Source organism: Homo sapiens, chromosome 6, assembly GCF_000001405.40.
Source record: "Homo sapiens chromosome 6, GRCh38.p14 Primary Assembly".
Classification (NCBI taxonomy): domain Eukaryota; kingdom Metazoa; phylum Chordata; class Mammalia; order Primates; family Hominidae; genus Homo; species Homo sapiens.
In genome coordinates, this window is record NC_000006.12 from 155,939,131 (window position 1) to 155,957,363 (window position 18,233).

Sequence of the window (18,233 nt, forward strand, 5' to 3'; positions counted from 1 at the left end):
CCATTATTTTCCTCCCCATTTTGTACCTTTATATTTCTCCATTGATCAAATCTACACAAAATAAAGGGATTGAGAAAGACACTAAACAGCCATAATTTCTTCTCCCTTCAAAAGGTTACCCACCACCTTTCCTGTTAAATAATTCTGCTTGACATAAAACACCCAACTTTTTTTTTTTTTTTTGGTAAGCATGTGTTTTCCTTTCCCTTTAAATGGAAGTCTTTGGTTCAGTGGGGCTTACATGCTTAATGACAATGTGGTGAAGTTAGCCCAGGAGAACAATGCATCCATTAATCTGCCTCATGCTTAATTGGTAACTACTGTATGGGCTGGCATTTCAAACACAGATTGCAAATGTACTTGAATTAGTTACTGTTTAATTGATACAACTGGCACTCAGCCTAGAACAAACATGCAGCTACTGTAAAAAGAGAGAGGCTTGAAAGCAGAAAGAAAAAGATAAAACAAGGTATGATTGTGATTCACTCTTTAAATGTTTATATCAATTATTTGTGAAATACAATTACATATTTTTTTCATAGTGCTTTGGCAAGCAATAGACCAAAACAAGCTGCTAAAAAATACCCGGAATGCTTGCTGACATAAGAATTTGCAGTGATTCCCAACTCTCTCTCCTCTTTCTTCATTCTACTTTTGTCCTTCCAAGGATAGTTATGTATGTGCAACCGAGGTTGGGGAATGCAATATTTATCATAAGATGAAATGCCTAAGAGGATAATTTTGACAGTGTCTCCACAATAGCAGAATTTCAAAAAAACAGAACACTATTATGGTAATAATTCAACTTTATGACCATTCGCACAAGTGTTACTATCAATATATTTTCAAAAGAAAAAATTAATTCCTTTAAATTAATTCCCAAATAATTTCATGTAGGCACACCATGCAGAAACCATTAGTTTCTACAACTTGCCTTTAAATAGAGAACATTTTGATTCCAGAGATGTTGTAATGATATCGATGGCTGTCATTTTTCAAGCATCTTCCACACACCCAGAATCACACTAAGTGATTCAATCCCCAATTTCTCATTCAGCCCTCCAAAGAGTCATGCTTTCTTCCTCAGTTTAAATCCTTATTTCATTGATTAAATCTATGTAAAATAATTGGACTGAAAAAAAGTATTAAACTGAACTTTTAAAAACCTTTTATAAAAGTTAACCCACGTGGCTTAAATGATTAAATGATTTTGCTTGATATATAAAATGCACAACTGCTATCTTGAATTTACAGGTATATGCTAGTCACGGAAGAGCTGATGCCTTTTTCATACCCAGAATACATATAAAGCAACCAAAATACTTTTCTCCAATCTGCAGTGAAAATCCTTTCGTTGGTTTAGTACAGTTATTGAGTATCTACAGTATATCCCGTTTGGTCTTCAATTATGTGAGATGTTATGTAAAATTGATCTCAATATTATTATCAGTGAGTTTCTAACTGCCAGTATCAAACGCACTGCGTCTATTACATCTTTAAACATTTTTACAGTTTACCTTTGTTTTGTATTATGTGACTTTTGTTTGGTTGAAACTTTGTAGTAGTTGACATTTTTCTTGGCTTTTCTGACATAAAGCCTTCCAGGTTTTCATCCTGCCTGTCTGACTACTTCTGAATTGCTTTGAGGTTCTGATATGGTTTGGATCTGTGTTCCATCCAAATCTCATGTGGAATTGTAACCCCAGGAGGGGCCTGGTGAGAGGTGATTGGATCCTGAGGGTGGATTTTTCCCTTGCTGTTCTCATGATAGTGAGTGAGTTCTCACGAGATTTGGTTATTTAAAAGTGCGTACCACCTCCCCCCTACTCTTTCTTTCTCCGTCTCCAGCCAGGGTAGGAAGTGCCTGCTTCCCCTTTGCCTTCCGCCATGATTTCCTGGGGTCTCCCCAGCCATGCTTCCTGCACAGCCTGCAGAACCATAAACCAATTAAATCTCTTTTCTTTATAAATTATCCAGTCTTGGGTAGTTCTTTTAGCAATGTGAGAATGGATTAATACAGGCTCCTCTTTACCCAACATTTAAACGTGGGAAGTTTGTATTTCAGATTTCTTTTGCTCTGTGCAATCTCATTTTATTCTACTGACTTCACCTGTATACCACATGTAAGTTATATATCACAATCCCATTGTTTTCTGGTAAACTAATATATATGACTTTAAAAAAAAAATCACTGAGAGCAATCTTGGAGAAATTTACAATTCTCTTTTTGCCCCTTAGACTGCTCTGTAACAATTCAGAGCCGCATACACAAAGCCAACTGGACTCCACTAGGTTGTCTAATGATAGCTCATAATGATGTTCAACAGTAGACTCGCCTTCCAGACCACTGCTTTGCTTTTTCTCGTGTCTTGTGAAATGGTGTTTCTATTTACATAGTCACCCAAGCCACTAGCCTGAGTTATTCTTGATTTTTCACTGACCTTCATTCCTCTCCATCTCCACCCACCTGATTTAATCACCAAGTCCTGCAGATTTTTTAATGCTCATAATAGTTGGTTTAAAAATAATTTCTTTCTTTCTGTCCTCAATGATACTTCTTACTTCTCATCTGAATTATTGCACTAGCCAGCTAACCAGTTTTTCTACTCCTACTACCAACTCTTCTCCAGTCCATTCTGTAGAGATGATTCCAAAGAATAAAAATGCACCCTTTCTTGCTGAAGATTGTCCAGAACCCTCATAGGCTTAAGGAAAAGGAACTGTTGTGTTCTAATCTCTGCCTATTTCTTTCGTTTTATTTTCCTCGTTCTCCCAAACATTCCCACCCTTCTCTACCTAGTAATTCCTACTGTTTCTTCAAGGCTCGATTCAACCGTCATCATTCTGCAAAGCTATCTCTAGCCATCCTTGGCTAAGGTAGGTGTTCGTCCTGTCTTCCCGTTGTTCCCTGTGCATACTTCCATTACAGGCTTGATCACATTGCACTCTAACTCTAAGCTATTTTAGAGTTACTGGTTAGGCTGTTAGGCTTTCTGGTTAGGCTGTAATCATATTTTGCTTTCTGGTATTTTTAACTGTTGATACGCTTTACATATTTTTAAAAAGAGAGACCTATTTGTTGGTATCTTCAAAGAGATGTAAAACGTAATATTCAACTCAGTTTTATATACCAGGTATGTAAATATTTGTTCTCTTATTTCTGTGTTGGGGGGACTTTTAAAAATAGATTTAGAGGGTACCAGTGCAGTTTTGTTATATGAATATATTACACGTTGTTGAAGTCTGGACTTTTAGTGTGGCCATCACCCAAATAATGTACATGGTACCCATTAAGTAATTTCTTATCCCTCATCCTGTTCTTGCTTCTAACTAGCTAAGTGACATTGGGGACACCATTTAGCCTTTCTAAGCATTAGCTTCATTATCTAAATAATTATTTTTAAGCTCTTCGTAACACAAATATTTGTATTTAAGTGGTTCTCTCCAATTATGTTGTGTAATTAGACATTTAATACAAGTTTTAATAGTTTACTGTTGTTGAATGAAAAGGTTCTGATTCAAAGTGTTCTTAGATATTGATTTTTGTCCCTACACTAAGTGATGTTAGTTTATATCTATAACGATTTTACATAAGATTTAAGCTGGTTCACGATAACATATCCCCCAAATGGTAAGAAGAAGGAGGAAAAGAAAGGAAGAAGAGGAGCAGGAGGAGGAAGGAAAGAGGAGGAGTAGAGAGAATTGTGTCAAAGAAAAAAGTAAATATTAATACATGTAAAAGTCAAAACTAGAAGCAAGTGAAAATACATGCCTGCACCATAATCGCTATATGTAATTGTAATAGGTCATTTTAAAATTTGATTCTGAGCTTCCTGGTGTACAAAATGAAAAAGACAGCAGTCTCAGATATCAAACACTTATCACAGGAGAAGTAAGGCTTTTCCAGCACTCTTTTCTTTTCTTTTCTTTCTTTTTTTTTTTTTTTGTCAGTCTTACTCTGTCACCCAGTCTGGAGTGCAATGATGCAATCTTGGCTTGCTGCGACCTCCGCCTCCCTGGTTCAAGTGATTCTCCTGCCTCAGCCTCCCAAGTAGCTGGGACTGCAGGTGCCCACCACCACAGCCGGCTAATTTTTTGTGTTTTCAGTAGGGATGGGGTTTCGCCATGTTGGCCAGGCTGATCTCGAACTCCTGACCTCAAGCGATCTGTCCACTTCAGCCTCTCAAGGTGCTGGGATTACAGGAATGAGCCACCACTCCCAGCTTGCAGCACACATTTCTAAAGTAAGTTTTTCCACACTGAGTTGCATGTACAAGGTAGTAAATAATGTACCAGACAATGCCTCAACACAATTCCTAAATAAAATATAAGAATGAAATTGATGAGGTTGTGCTTTAAAATACCCTCCAAGAAAAGGCAAGGCCATTATCTGAAAAGTTTGTAAAAACAAGTCCATCAGTGGCAAAGATATATTTCAATTGGGTAGCCTTCTGATGATCTACTTTGATTAAAAATGAAATCCAGAATACCTAAATAAATAGCAACAGAACACATCCTTTTGTTAATCCTCTTCAAACATCACATTTGCTAGGTTCTAATGGGTCCCCGTGGTGTGTTTGGAGTAAGATTCTACTCTAGGAAGTGGCAGTTGCTCCCTCTTTCACAGTTTAATAAAAGCAGTTACTCTCAGCACTATTCATGTGGTTTATCCTGGTTCCACCACTAATACACCATGTGACTTTGAGCAAGTGACTCAACCTCTCTGTCATTTAGTTTCCTCATCTGCAAAATATTGATAATAACAACACTTAGCTCATTGGATTGTTAGGAGGATAAAATGCAATGAAACATGTAAAATGCCTCTGATGGTGCCTGGTAAATAGAAAGTGCTACTATATATGTTTTTTCTTTCTTTTTTTTTTTTTTTTTTTCTGAGATGGAGTCTTGCTCTGTTGCCCATGCTGGAGTACAGTGGCACAATCTCGGCTCACTGCCACCTCTGCCTCCCGGGTTCAAGCAGTTCTCCTGCCTCAGCCTTCCAAGTAGTTGGGATTACAGGCACGCACCACCACGCCCAGTTGATTTTTTTGTATTTTTAGTACAGATGGGGTTTCCCCATGTTGGTCAGGTTGGTCTCGAACTCCTGACCTCATGATCCGTCCGCTTTGGCCTCCCAACATGCTGGAATTACAGGCATAAGCCACCGTGCCCAGCCAAGGTACTACTATATTACATGAGACTGCCTTAGACATGCATGCTGTATGTGCTTTTCTATTAGTAGCAGCACCAGAAAAACCATCCTTCCCTTTCTGAGAGCAGTATGGATCACACATTCACAGATTGTTTAAGCTATCACTAGATTGTGATCTTGTTTACTTTGGTGATGCACTTCTTCTTGTATTCATAGACATAGAAACTGGATTTTAAAATTTGTATGTGTCCAGCTTTCTTTGTGGCCAATCTTTATCATTCAGTTTTAAACAAAATTTGTCCTCTTGTAAGATCCGATCACACGATTCATTTCCTGGAAACATGAAAAAAGACTCCACATATTAGGCTGGAAGCTTGGATTCTAGTCTAGCTTAGTGATACCATGTCAACCTTCTCATCTGTAATGTTTCAGCATTGAGATCATGGCTAAATGTTCATTTTGGTTTTAAATTTCTGATTCTAAAAATTCAAGTTCAGTTTAAGGTTAAATCTTCTTTTAGACCAAGGGAAACAAATGAACAAAAAACTGTATGTAAAATATCTCTCCATTCTGATATATAGTTCTTATTTCCCTAAATTTCTGAATTCTGATGAGAATTGATGCTTTCCCATTTAATATTGTTTCCTTTGAAGTTCCTGAAATTTTCAGGCTAATAAATCCCCAGGTGGCTCTATTTCAAGTGTTACCCTTTGCAGCAAAGAGCATCTCTCTGAGCTTTAGACCTAATTTTGCTGTGAGTATTCTCACCTCGTTTAAGGCAGGAGCAAAACTTCCCATGGATTGCCCTGTCCCTCCTGTGCCATCCTATCTCTGATCAGAATGGCGAGCGTTGACCTGCAAGAGAAGCTCACTGAGTATTTCTGCTCCTTTCTCCACACCCCTCATCACTCCTTCCAAAGGAGAAAACAAGAGCAAGACACCCTACCCGCAATGGGAAAGAGTTATGATCTGAATTATTCAAACCTTAGCACTGTGTATTGATATAATTTTCAAACAGATGAAGGTGGCAGCACTGGAGTGTGGATTTTTCCTTTCTGGTCTCTGTTGCTTCCACAGAGTACAGAATGGTAATGAGGGCCTGAGCCATTTCCCCTTGGAAAAATCCCAAACATCTCTCTTTATCTTTAGCTCTCTCTTTCTTCCACTCTGTACTCTCTCCTGCCTCAAGGGCAGCCCTAGATCAGGTTTGATAAAGTCTGGAGTAGGAGACACAGCACTGGGGCAGGCACCTTCCTCCTGCCATCCCCTCCCTCTTGCGTTTCTTCATGTTCTATTTCTTCTCATCTTGGGAAGTCCACTTTAATTCAACCTTTCCACCGACCTGAGTGTTGACATTAGAGACCCAGGTTTGGGGTTAGGAAAGAGCCACTTGGCTCAGAGAGGAACAATGCTCCAAGAACAGCTGACTTCCTGAAGACCTATGTTGGAGAGGGAGGCTAGCGCCCAAGCAATAAAGATGTGAGACAATGACCGGCTTGGTCAGACTTTCTCTTGCAACTCTTTTGCCCTTGGAAGCTCACCCCAAGAGGTATCTATAGCAAGGCAGGACACAGTTATTTCTGAGTTCCTTTGCCAAATAACACCACACAATAATCACTTTAATTGCAATTCAATTAACATAGCTACAATTTGGTATAATTTTAACTGATTCTATTATTTTCAATAGCAGCTAGTAGGTGATGGCTGCTTCCTTTCTGTACTATTCCCTTTTGATGAAGAGTGGGAGTGGAAGGGCTTCACTTTCAAAATCTCTGCTCCTTTCCCATTCACTATGCAGATATAGCAGAGTCAATTAGGAAACAATGGTTATATTTTTAAAGCCATGTGTTTTAGTAACTAAATGTTGCTGCTTTAGGACTTTATGCAGCTTTCCAGTTCTGTTCTTTTTAAACTTTTGAATATTTTTTCTTAACTATTTCCCAACAAAATCAATTCCTAAACTTTTTCATAATTATTATTCCCTATAAAATTTACTCTTTCACTGGCTAAATTAAAGTCTTGAGTGTGGAGACCATATCGTGTAATTATAATCCTTACCCCCTATTTTACAAAGCACATAATAACAATCACAGGAAAAATACAAATAGCCAATAAATGTAAAGAACCTATTTATTCTTTTGAGTCATCATAGAAATGCACATTGGAACTGTCTATAAAATTAGTAGTGATACTAATATATTCTAATATTTGAACGATGTTCTAAGAGTGACCAGAGAATGTTGCTGAATGACTAGAAAAACTTTTTGGAAAGCAATTCGTCAACATGTGTTAACAACCTTTAAAATGTATATTGTTAAAGAATATTACAAGACATGGAACAATTGTTGGCATATAATGCTAATTTTAGTATTATTCAATAAATATTTATTAAGGGCCCTCCATGTGCCAGGCACTGCTCTAAGTGAACAAAATAAAGTTCATGTCTTCAAGGAACTTCTATGGAAAACAAAGTCAGCTGGTGGTAGTGATGGCAGCAGCAGCCCATCTGGAGCACCTGCTGCAGAGGTGCCAGCTGCAGTGGGGGAGGCACTGCCAGGGCTGCCCACTCTGCTTAGCCAGCAGGTGCCAAGAACAGGTGGGAGCCCCACCCCCTACTGAGTTGGCAGGATGGGAGCCCCTTGCTCCCTGGCACACAGCTACAGCTGCCCAGCCAGGGTTCTGGACCTGGACATTCCTGCACTCTCAGGGGCCCAGGAACCCCCCTGCCCCTGCAGGCTTGAACATGCCTGCTCCAGCTCCCTGTCCTCTCCCTGTTCCCAGTCCCTGCTTGGGGCAGAGCAAAGTTGTGGCTGAGCCTGGCGGCTGTCGCAACCTGGCCAGGTGTGCGTGTCCTCAGCATGGCACTGACACCAACACCCTGCCACCTTGGCCCCCTCTAGGCTTTGGGCATCACTGAGCATGGGTGGGGGGCAAGGAGGCTGAGAGCAGCTCAGTGCATGCCTGCCGGTGCCTCTCCTTATGGACAGCCTGGGTGCTGTGAATGGCATGTTAAAGGCAGACAGATTCCTAGGCGGGAAGGGGTGGGTCTCTGGTGAAACCCCACTTTCAGGTCAGGAACAGCGTGAAGCCTGGGGGCCAGGCTGCCAGTTCTGGGCAAAGGCTACAGCCCAGAGTGAGAACTTCATTGATGACTGTTCAGCCAATCAGATGGTGCATTTTCCAGGCCCACTGTGGCTGCCTGTGGGCCAGTCAGCACACACTTCCTCCATTCTGAGCACATAAAAACCCCAGACTCAGCCAGACTCACACACTCGTCAGGATGACCTGCCTGCAGCAAGGAACTACCCACTTTGGGTCTCCTGAGAGCTGTTCTGTCACTCAATGAAGCTCCTCTCCACTTTGCTCACCCTCCAGTTGTCCACCTACCTCATTCTTCCTGGATGCAAGACAAGAACTCAGGACCCACTGAATGGCAGGACTGAAAGAGCTATAACACAAACAGGGGTGAAACAAGCCACTTGCTTGCTGCATTGTGGGTGATGAGAAGGAGAGAAGAGCTGTGGCCCTTCAAGGATCTCAGACCTAGGGGCTCCCCAAGCCAGGGCTGTGACATCCTTTTTGTGGCTCTGGAGTTCCTGACATCTCTAAGCTTCCAGGCACCACTATGTTCCCCTCATCCAGATGCAGGTAGAAGCCACTTATGGTACATCTGATCCAGCTGCAGCCTTGCACAGAGCTGGCATCTGAGCTGGCACCTGTGCACATGCCTGGAGCTGCCCACCCCTCCATAATAGCCGATGTGCCTGGCTGTGCACTGTGGCTGGACCCCACACTTGTCTGCTCACACAACTCTTGCTGCTCCATGCCTGGCTTGCCCTTGGTAGGCGTGGGATCTGGGCTGGTAGCATGAGCTCAGCACAGCCTGCCAGGCTGAGTGGGCAGAATGAGCCCCGTGGGCCCAAGCAAAACTCAGGCAAAGACGCCACCAGCCACAGAGATTTCTGGCTGGAAAAGTGACACCCTATGGATCCTGTGACAGTAAGTGCTATGAATAGTATGGCCATATGCCCCCTTTGCCTGAGACAGTTTAAGGCTGTTGTCCCAACATAATTATTAGCAGCTAAGTACTACAATAGAGTGATGGGGAGGGTGTGATTTTAGGCACAGTAGTCAGAGAGCCCTCTTGGAGAAGGTGACTTTTGGGCAGAGACTAGAATGCAATGAAGCAGTGAGCCCCATGACTCTCTGGGGGAAAATCACTTAGCAGCAGAAAGACCAAGTGAGATGGAAGCACCTCATGTGTTTGAGGAGCCCTGACAGGTGAGTGTGGCTGGCGTGGAGGAAGTAACAAGAGAGTGGAAGGGCATGGGATCAGATGAGCTTGGCTCATGAGAAAGCCTTACTTAAACATTCATCTCAGTTTTCTGAAAATGTTAAAAGAAGTTTACTGTGGACTCAATCTTATTTTTTCCCCCAGACATAGCTATGTGCCCTGGTCAGCAGAATTTGTTACTGCAGCTTGTATGGCGAATGCCATGACCAGAGCACCTTCTGTCTGGAATAAGATGCTGTGTCCTTCTCTACAAAGAGTTAAGTCAGATATTGACAACTGAAGAAGGTTGGGACTGTGAGCCACAGTGAGCAAGACTTCGTTGTCCAATATCCCACAGCAAAGCCTTTCTCTTAGGGCACAACCCTCATTTACTTTGTTCTCGATACCATGTTTGAAAAAATTTTAAAGTCAATGTAAACTTCCCATATGGTGATTAATTAGCCAAAGTTTGTTACCTGTAGTTAGTGAGGATAAATTTTCAGAGGAATTTATTTTTTTATTTTATTATTATTATTATTATTATTATTATTATTATTTTGAGATGGAGTTTTGCTCTTCTCACCAAGGCTGGAGGGCAGTGGTGTGATCTCTGTTCACTGCAACCTCTGCCTCCTGGGTTCAAGTGATTCTTCTGCCTCAGCCTCCTGAGTAGCTGGGACTACAGGCATGTACCACCACACCCAGCAGACAGGACTTCATCATGTTGGCCCGGCTGGTCTCAAACTCCTGATCTCAGGTGATCCACCGGCCTCAGCCTCCCAAAGTGCAGGGAATACAGGCATGAGCCACCGCACCCAGCCTGTATTTTTAAATTTAACCCAGAGACACACATGGACCATGCAGGAGGTGAAAGCTAGGCCATCACTTTTGTTCTCTTCACCATGACCAGTGGACCAGATTCTTAATTGAGTGGAAATTAGCCAAGAATTATGCTCCATCTGTACAGGATTTTGAAAAATTAACATCACTGGTTCATACCTTCTGTTAATTATTACTTTATATTTAATCTGTTTCAAAGACACCAATTAAGTGTCTTTTAAGGCAATTATTTTCAAGCTATCTATGTATATGTACCCCAGAAAATTTTGAAAACTTAGGTACACCATCACACATTTTTAAGCTTGACTTCTAAGTTTTTAATCACAAATTCAAATTGTTGCAACAGTTTAATTTCTGGTAGATTGTAACTATTGACATTTTAAAATAAAACTATTATAACACTCTTTGAAATACATCGAATTGAATATAAATACCAGAGCAATTTGCTATCTACCATTATCAATTTACAAATATTAACAAGCTGTTTCAGAGTCAGTAATTTTACATTATGCATTTTTCTTCTTGAACTACTATTTCCATTATACCTAATTATTCATCTCTTCCCCCTAAAATAGGTACATAAATCAAAATTCATATATTTATCATTTCGCCTAGCCATCAGGATCTAAACATTAAATTGTTTTTCTGCATTTTATTATCATTAACATTATTAGATCACATATCTTGATACATAATTATTAAAAATAAAAGTTAGGCTGGGCATGGTGGCTTATGCTTGTAATCCCAGCACTTTGGGAGGCTGAGGCAGGTAGATCACCTGAGGTCAGGATTTCAAGACCAACCTGGCCAACATGGTGAAACCCCATCTCTACTAAAAAATACAAAAATTAGTTGGGTGTGGTGGTGCACACCTATAGTTCCAGCTACACAGGAGGCCAAAGCAGGAGAATCGCTTGAACCTGGGAGGCAGAGGTTACAGTGAGCAGAGATCATGCTACTGAACTTCAGCCTGAGTGACAGAGCGAGACTCCATCTCAAAAAAACTATTAAATTTTATGAATGCTTTTATTATTGCTAGAATTGTGTATTGTCTGGCATTAAGTCCATTCTCAATTTTTGCTTTTGTAGTTGTAAATGCTGAAAAATTTTGTTGACATAAATAAGTTGATCAGAATGGAAGTCTTGTTACAGCACTGTCACTCAATTCCATGAACTTCCCCTAAATTACATGTCAGATATCACAAAGTGACCTATGATCAAACATTTCCATAATTAGCTAAAAACTTGTTTGGGGTATCCTTCAATTTTGTGGGAAACAAAATATTTTTTAAGAAACATGACTTGCAAAGGATATTTTATCTTTAGCCAGATACTAAATACATCTTTCTCAGTCTCTGGAAAGGATACTTAAGAGCTTTACCAAGACAATTCAAATGACTACAGTCAGTTACACTTTCACTTGGAGGCATCTTGTACTAAACATGCTAATATTTTATACACACTGTACTAAGAAAGATTTGTTTTAAAAAAAAAGAAAGTAAAGTTTAATTTCAGAAGTCCTTTGCTAACACAATAATTTTTTAAATTTTATCACATACTTCAAGTACATTCTTGTCAACATTTGGGGATTCAGACTTAGCTCACTGAACTTATGAGAACTGTCCACCATATAAACTAAATGACAAATGAGCCCTCCTTGTCAAAGCCACCAGTCAAGTCAGACTCCCCTTCTGCCTGAAATGTATGATTTCACTTTTCAATTTAAAGAAATGAGTTAATAAGCATTCCATGACAACCATCTCCCTGTTGTCTTCTAATTGCAGAATAGAGAAAAAGATACAATAGTAGATGATTAGATAGAACACAGAGCCTGGCCATGAATTTTTCCTGTGAGTGAAATTAGAAGCCCCTGCTCTCATGAGAGTATAAGTGAGGGGTTGGAAAAAGTGATGGGATCGCATGAAAAAATTCAAACTATCCTTCTCTTTGGTACCCATGAGACTTTTACATCTTAAGGCAATGAAACAAAACAATCAGGATAGGTGAGAGAAACATTGTATTTATTTGTTCATCTGTCTGTCTGTTTAGTGAAATGGGAGAAGGTGATTAGGAAAGGAGAGAAGGGTCAGGAGTATCAGGACGCTTCCACCCCAAGCCTGCATTCTCAGTCAGTGGAATGACCACACGTGACAGTTGAGAACTCGGACGTTGATTCCCTTTAAGCTCTTCATAGCTGTGTTCATGTTCAGGAGAACAGTGCCGTGATGTGAATACTGATGTTGTAGAAGAATAAGATTCCCTGCCCTCAGGGAATTTATAACCTAGAGAAGGAGTGCATGCATTTGTCAGTTCACCCCATGAGTACTGATATGGGGCCTTCTATATTCAAGAGACTATGAAAGGTGCTGTCATGCAAGAGAAATACAGAAATGACTTACGTATGGACTGTGCCCTCAACAGTCAGTGAGTCTGGTCATATGAGGAAGAAAGGGATAGATCCTGTGAGAGGACAGAGATGAAGGAATATGTGAGTTCAGAGACGGGGAAGATTACTTCCTGACGAGCCTCTGCAAAGGTTATATGGGATTTGGCCATGAGAAGATAAAGTGAGAACATTCCATGATATATGTAACATTAAGAAATTCGGCCAGTCTTGGTGGCTCACCCCTGTAATCCCAGCACTTTGAGAGACCAAGGCAGGCGGATCGCTTGAGGTCAGGAGTTCAAGACCAGCCTGGCCAACATGGTGAAACCCCATCTCTACTAAAAAATACAAAAATTAGCTGGGAATAGTGGTGGGCACCTGTAATCCCAGCTACTTGAGAGGCTGAGGTGGGAGAATTGCTTAAACCCAGGAGGTGGAAGTTGCAGTGAGCCAAGATCATGCCATTGCACTCCATCCTGGGTGACAGAAAGAGAACCCCTCTCAAAAAAAAAAGAAATTCAGAGGGCTTATATAACAACCAAAACCATATAGTAGATGTTGAGTGGACAGACTTATGGGAAATGAGATTGACAAAGGAATTAAGACTAAGATGTTGAAGGCCAGAGGATCTGATGTGTATTCTAAAGGCACTGGTTTTTTTTTTTTAATTATAAAATTATTGTAGAAGCAATACATATCCCTTAGAGGAAACTTGGAAATAATTTTTCTCCTAGAGATCTTTATTCTTATTAATATCTTGTGTATATTCTTCCAAACTTTCTATGCATACTCATATCCCTAGCAGCTAGAATAGCACCCTAGCATACTCAATAGTTCTGAATATTTTTAAAACTAGAAATTTTATATCTGTCATTTTGCAAATTGATTTTTTTCACTTAAATACATATTATACAATATTTTCACGTCAACTAACTGTACACCATCTTTCAGTGGCTACATGGTATTTCATTGTATGGATGTGTGCAATTTTTTATTGTCACAGAATTATTACCAAGTTTTAGCTCTTATAAACAATGTTGCCATAAGAAATTAGTATATATTACTAAAATTTAATTGGTTGAAATTATGCACGTGTAATTTTAGAGGATTTCTGAAAAATTGCACCAGTTCACATTTAAATCGCTGTTCACAAAATGTGTTTGCTTATCCTTAAACTCAATCATATTGGGTAGTTTTTTAAAAACTTTATGAATAAGAAAGATTTTTAAAAAGGATTTCACATGTTTCTTTGCTTTCTGTTAAGGTTAAATATTTTTTACACGTTTATTGGCTGTTGTTCAGTTTCTTTTTTGGGACTTGTCTACACATTGTAGACACAAGTTTTCTGCAAGAGAGGGAAATGATATCATAAGAACTACACTTGAAGAGGTATTCATGGGGGTGGGGGGTGGATTTAGGATGAATTGGAGAAACAATTAGGAAAAGGTAGGAGAGGGGTTGGATCACCTTGGCAATGACAGAGAACAGTTTCCGTAGAGCACTGTGGGCACCAGATAGTGATTTCAGGCACTGAGAAGTGAGGAGGTTGAGAAAACAAAAGCCACATCATACAAGGCTTTTTCATAACATTGACTGGGAAAGAGAAGCAAGGACAGTGTGAGTTGGGGCTAGGGGCACCTGGGCACCTTTTTAGGCTGTAGATACGTTCTGTTGAGACTGAAATAAAGAAAATGGGGCCTGTGAGATGGAGTCAAGTCTGAGAGCAAGTGAGAAAGAACAGGATGGGTGGCACAGTGGTGGGCTGAGTTCTCCAAACCAGGAGAAAAAGAGACACAGGGTCAAAATCTAGAGAACTTTTAATGATGCATAAATTAAACAAATGCATGTTTGTGTGTGAAAACACGAGGCAAGGAAGAATATGGCAAGTCTTAGAAATAGAATGTGAAATGCTGTGGAAGTGGAGGGGAGCTGGGCTGATGGATTTCCGGAAGTGGCAGCCTTTGGGCTGGTCCTTGAATGGATGGGTTCCTGTGGCGGCCGGGGCACTCTTGTACTAGGAAAGAATATTGATAGAGGCACAGAGACAGTCAGTCAGCAGGGCAGGGAGGGTTCAGAGAGTGGAAAGGAGGAGGCTTCGGGAAGTGAAGAGGGTGTGGGGAAGTTAAGAGAGAAAAACCTGGGCAGGGAAGTCAGGTCTAGGTGTTCCCAGGTACTGGGGACTCAGGCCTAACATCAGACCTACACTTGGAATTCTCAAAAGGACTTTCACAGACATGATGGCATGTAAGCCTTTCTCTGCCCCTAGGATTGTTATCTTTAATTCAGTATAACAATGAGGAATCTGAGGCCCTAAAGGCTACCCATCTTGCCCAAGATCACTGAGGATAAAGGAAAGAAGGGAACCAGAGTGGGGGTCACCTGAGTCCTCGTGCAGTGCTTTTAGCTCGCCCCAAATGTCTTTTATTTGACTCTGAGGCAGTGAGAATCCTCTGAAGATTTCCGAGTGGCATGATCAGAGCTGGTGGATGATGTTATAAAACCAAATATATTAGTCACTTTCAGTCCTTTGAAAGTTCTCAGAGAATCGAGTAGAACTTTGCCATGACTGGCATATTTTTATCTAGTTCAAAGGTTCATCAAAGTCCTTTACAGATTAATGAGTTAAAGTTTGCTTGCGACTGTGTAGGTAAACGGAGCAACCTAATTATGTTCCCGGCATATCAAATACTGCAGCTCACTTTGCCTAAATCTAATTTAGATATTTATACACTTTCTAAAAATAGAAAATTGAGAATTATCCATTATCCAGAACTAGTCATTCAATTAACAAGGAGATAAATACTAAAGAGCCTGCTCCCAATCATCAGAAAATGAGGGCATGGTGAGATCGAGGACATAAAACCATTGACCGTCATAGCACACCTTGGCAGGAAAGGACTCTACTACCCTTGGTGTGACTGGCATTTTTTCAGCTATAGTCTGCGCTAAGCCTGTTACATGTTTGCTCTTTTCTCACTCTATGGGATATTACCATGGTCCCTTTGCAGATTGAAAACTGAGGCTATGAACCACAGATCCCTAATTTGCCCAAAGAGGCTAAGCTCTGATTCTGACCCAGACTGGTCACAATAGTCCCCTTAAAGGAAAAATCAGATTCCATTTAGTGTGGCACGGCACTGATTAATATGATTTGAGAACATATCAAAAGCACAGCCTATTTCTGCCAATTCAAGTTTATTGACTAACACAGACAAACTTATAGTTTTGCTATGTAGTACCCACAGAATTCAAAGTAAGAAATAATGGCAGAAATGAGGATTCTTGTTCTGGTTTTTCTTTTTGCAAATTACAAAAGATGAGTTAGTTACTTTAACAGACACAAATTGGGTGGGTTCTTTTACACATTCTTCTCCTCTTAGGTGTTTGCTATACGATCTGATTGGGTAGCGGCTATAATGACAGGTGAGGAAATGTAAATGTAATCAGTAGTTATGTAAATGTAGTACTTCCCCTAAATGCACGCTAACACCACCTGATTTCTCCCCAGGGCTCCAGAGCAGCCCTAACACCAAGCGCTTTGGTAGATTGAGGGATATGAACTTGCAGTAGGGGCTTGGTAAGAAAAGGAAGTACTCAGCCGGACTTGCTGAAACTAACAGCTTTCACGGGGAATTCAGAAGAACCTTGATGTAGAAGAAAAGAAATGCAGGCAGGTTTCCCCAGCCAGACTAAACCTGGGTCAAATGCCAGCTCAGCCATTTACTAGCCGCTTGATTTGGGGTCTAATTATTTAACTAATCTAAGGCTCAATCTTTTCATCCGCAAAATGGGAAGTATAGTATTTGCTTCACACAAGGTTGTGAAATGTATATGAAGTAATTTATAAAAAACACCTAGCTCATTGCCTGACACATGGTAAGTGCCTAACAAAGGTTAATGTCCCTTAATCTCTAGGGAGAAATCTAGTTAAGCAAGGAACTTCAGCAGACTTACAGTATCTCTAAAAATATGCTTATATCTCACAGAAGGAAAAAAATAAGGTGGTGATCAGTTGATATAATTTATCCTTAATCGCAAAAAAATATAAATACAAGTTACAAATATTTTTATTTATACATAAATCAAAAGGTTCCAGTTATGGGTTATGTAAGTAATAGCAAAATATGCATACTGGTGTATTTGAAAGGCTTACTATTTTGTATTCCAAAGGATTTGAAAGTACAGTATTTTACAATAGTTTAGTTCCTTTAAAATGTAACTATTTTCAGCAGCAACCATTTCCTAACCTAACAAAATCTTCGGTTTCAGTAAACACTTTCCATTATAGGTTAAATTTTACCTCCTACTGAAAAAGCAATGATGCTAGGTGACTTTCATCACCTGTAATATCAGAAGATCAAAAAACCCTTTAGAAAAGCAGGGAGACCTATATTTCCACTTCCTGTTTCTCAGATTAGAGCAACAATGACAGGATCAATTGGAAATAGATCTGGAAATCAATTAATATGATATAAAGACTAAACTTGGGCTATAACCCAAATTAAGGTAGATTACTAGTTCTATAACATAGAAGGTGATAACAGATTTCTCAAAATTATCTTGATTGTAGTTTTATAATTTTTGCTTTGAACTGGAATATTATTTCCTATATTCTCCCCATAGTGAATAAGTTATTATTTTCCTTTCCATCCTAATTTTTTAATAAAGGGATAGTTTGTTGAGAAAAATACAAATTTCTTGGGTTTCTGTTTCTCATCCTTTAGAGGAGACTTAGATCAAGATTCTTAAGTACATTAAAAAAATAGCAATATCGTCACTGTGTCTATAGAACGCTGATGGCTTTGGTAAGTAATAACAGGGAGACGCTGGATGAGTGAACCCATTTCAGTAACAGCAAAAACTGTGGTGCATACAGGATAGAAGAAAGAAAATTATGGTAAAAAAAATTAGGTATTTAAAAAAAATTTTTAAACCCTCTGGCACCATAGCAAACTCTGAGATAAATGCACTCTGTGGGGCTCCATTCTATCAATTTAAGAAACAATTCAACTTTTTTATTATTCTGCTTCAACAGTTTAAATAGGAAACAAAATCAAAATATTGTATTGATGTGCTATTTTTCTGCAAGAAGAGTGAATTTGTGTGTAGATGTGCTCAATGCAGTTCAAAAGTAATGCAAGTGAGGAAAGAATGTAAATTTATTCTTGGACAACAATGATATAAACCCATTGACTTTCTTTCTTAAGAGGAAGAATAGGACCTGGAACCTGTGGTGAAGGTATGAAGTTTACACTTTCTTCAGTTAAAGACCAGCATATGGAAAACAACTTACAACCTTGACCCTAAGCTGGAGCTCAAGGGCCTTCCTGCTCTTTCAGGCAAGTGGGCTGGTTGCCCTGGAAGCACCTCAGCTTGGAGAAGACTCAAAAATCAAAGTTCTACCACTAACTAATGGGGTGGCCTTGAGAAAACAACTCAGCCATTTTAGGTCTCAGAGTCCTCCTATGTAAAAATGAACACAGCGATCCTTAAATTTCAAAGGTTATTACAGAGAGTCAATTAAATAAGTGTATACTGCAAACTGTAAAGCATTCTAGGAGTTTATTTTTAATATTCAGAGC

The 18,233-nt window shown here is 39.7% G+C and overlaps 1 long non-coding RNA gene and 1 other non-coding gene across 2 annotated transcripts in view; one reads left to right on the plus strand and one right to left on the minus strand.

Moving 5' to 3' along the window:
* Nucleotides 1-18,233, minus strand: part of LOC101928923 (uncharacterized) — a 487,547-nt gene that overhangs the window by 130,406 nt on the left and 338,908 nt on the right. The gene's annotated exons all lie outside the window — the stretch shown is intronic.
* MIR1202 (microRNA 1202) lies at nt 7,667-7,749 on the plus strand. The gene has a single exon (NR_031606.1). It is a non-coding gene; the product is annotated as a microRNA 1202 (primary transcript).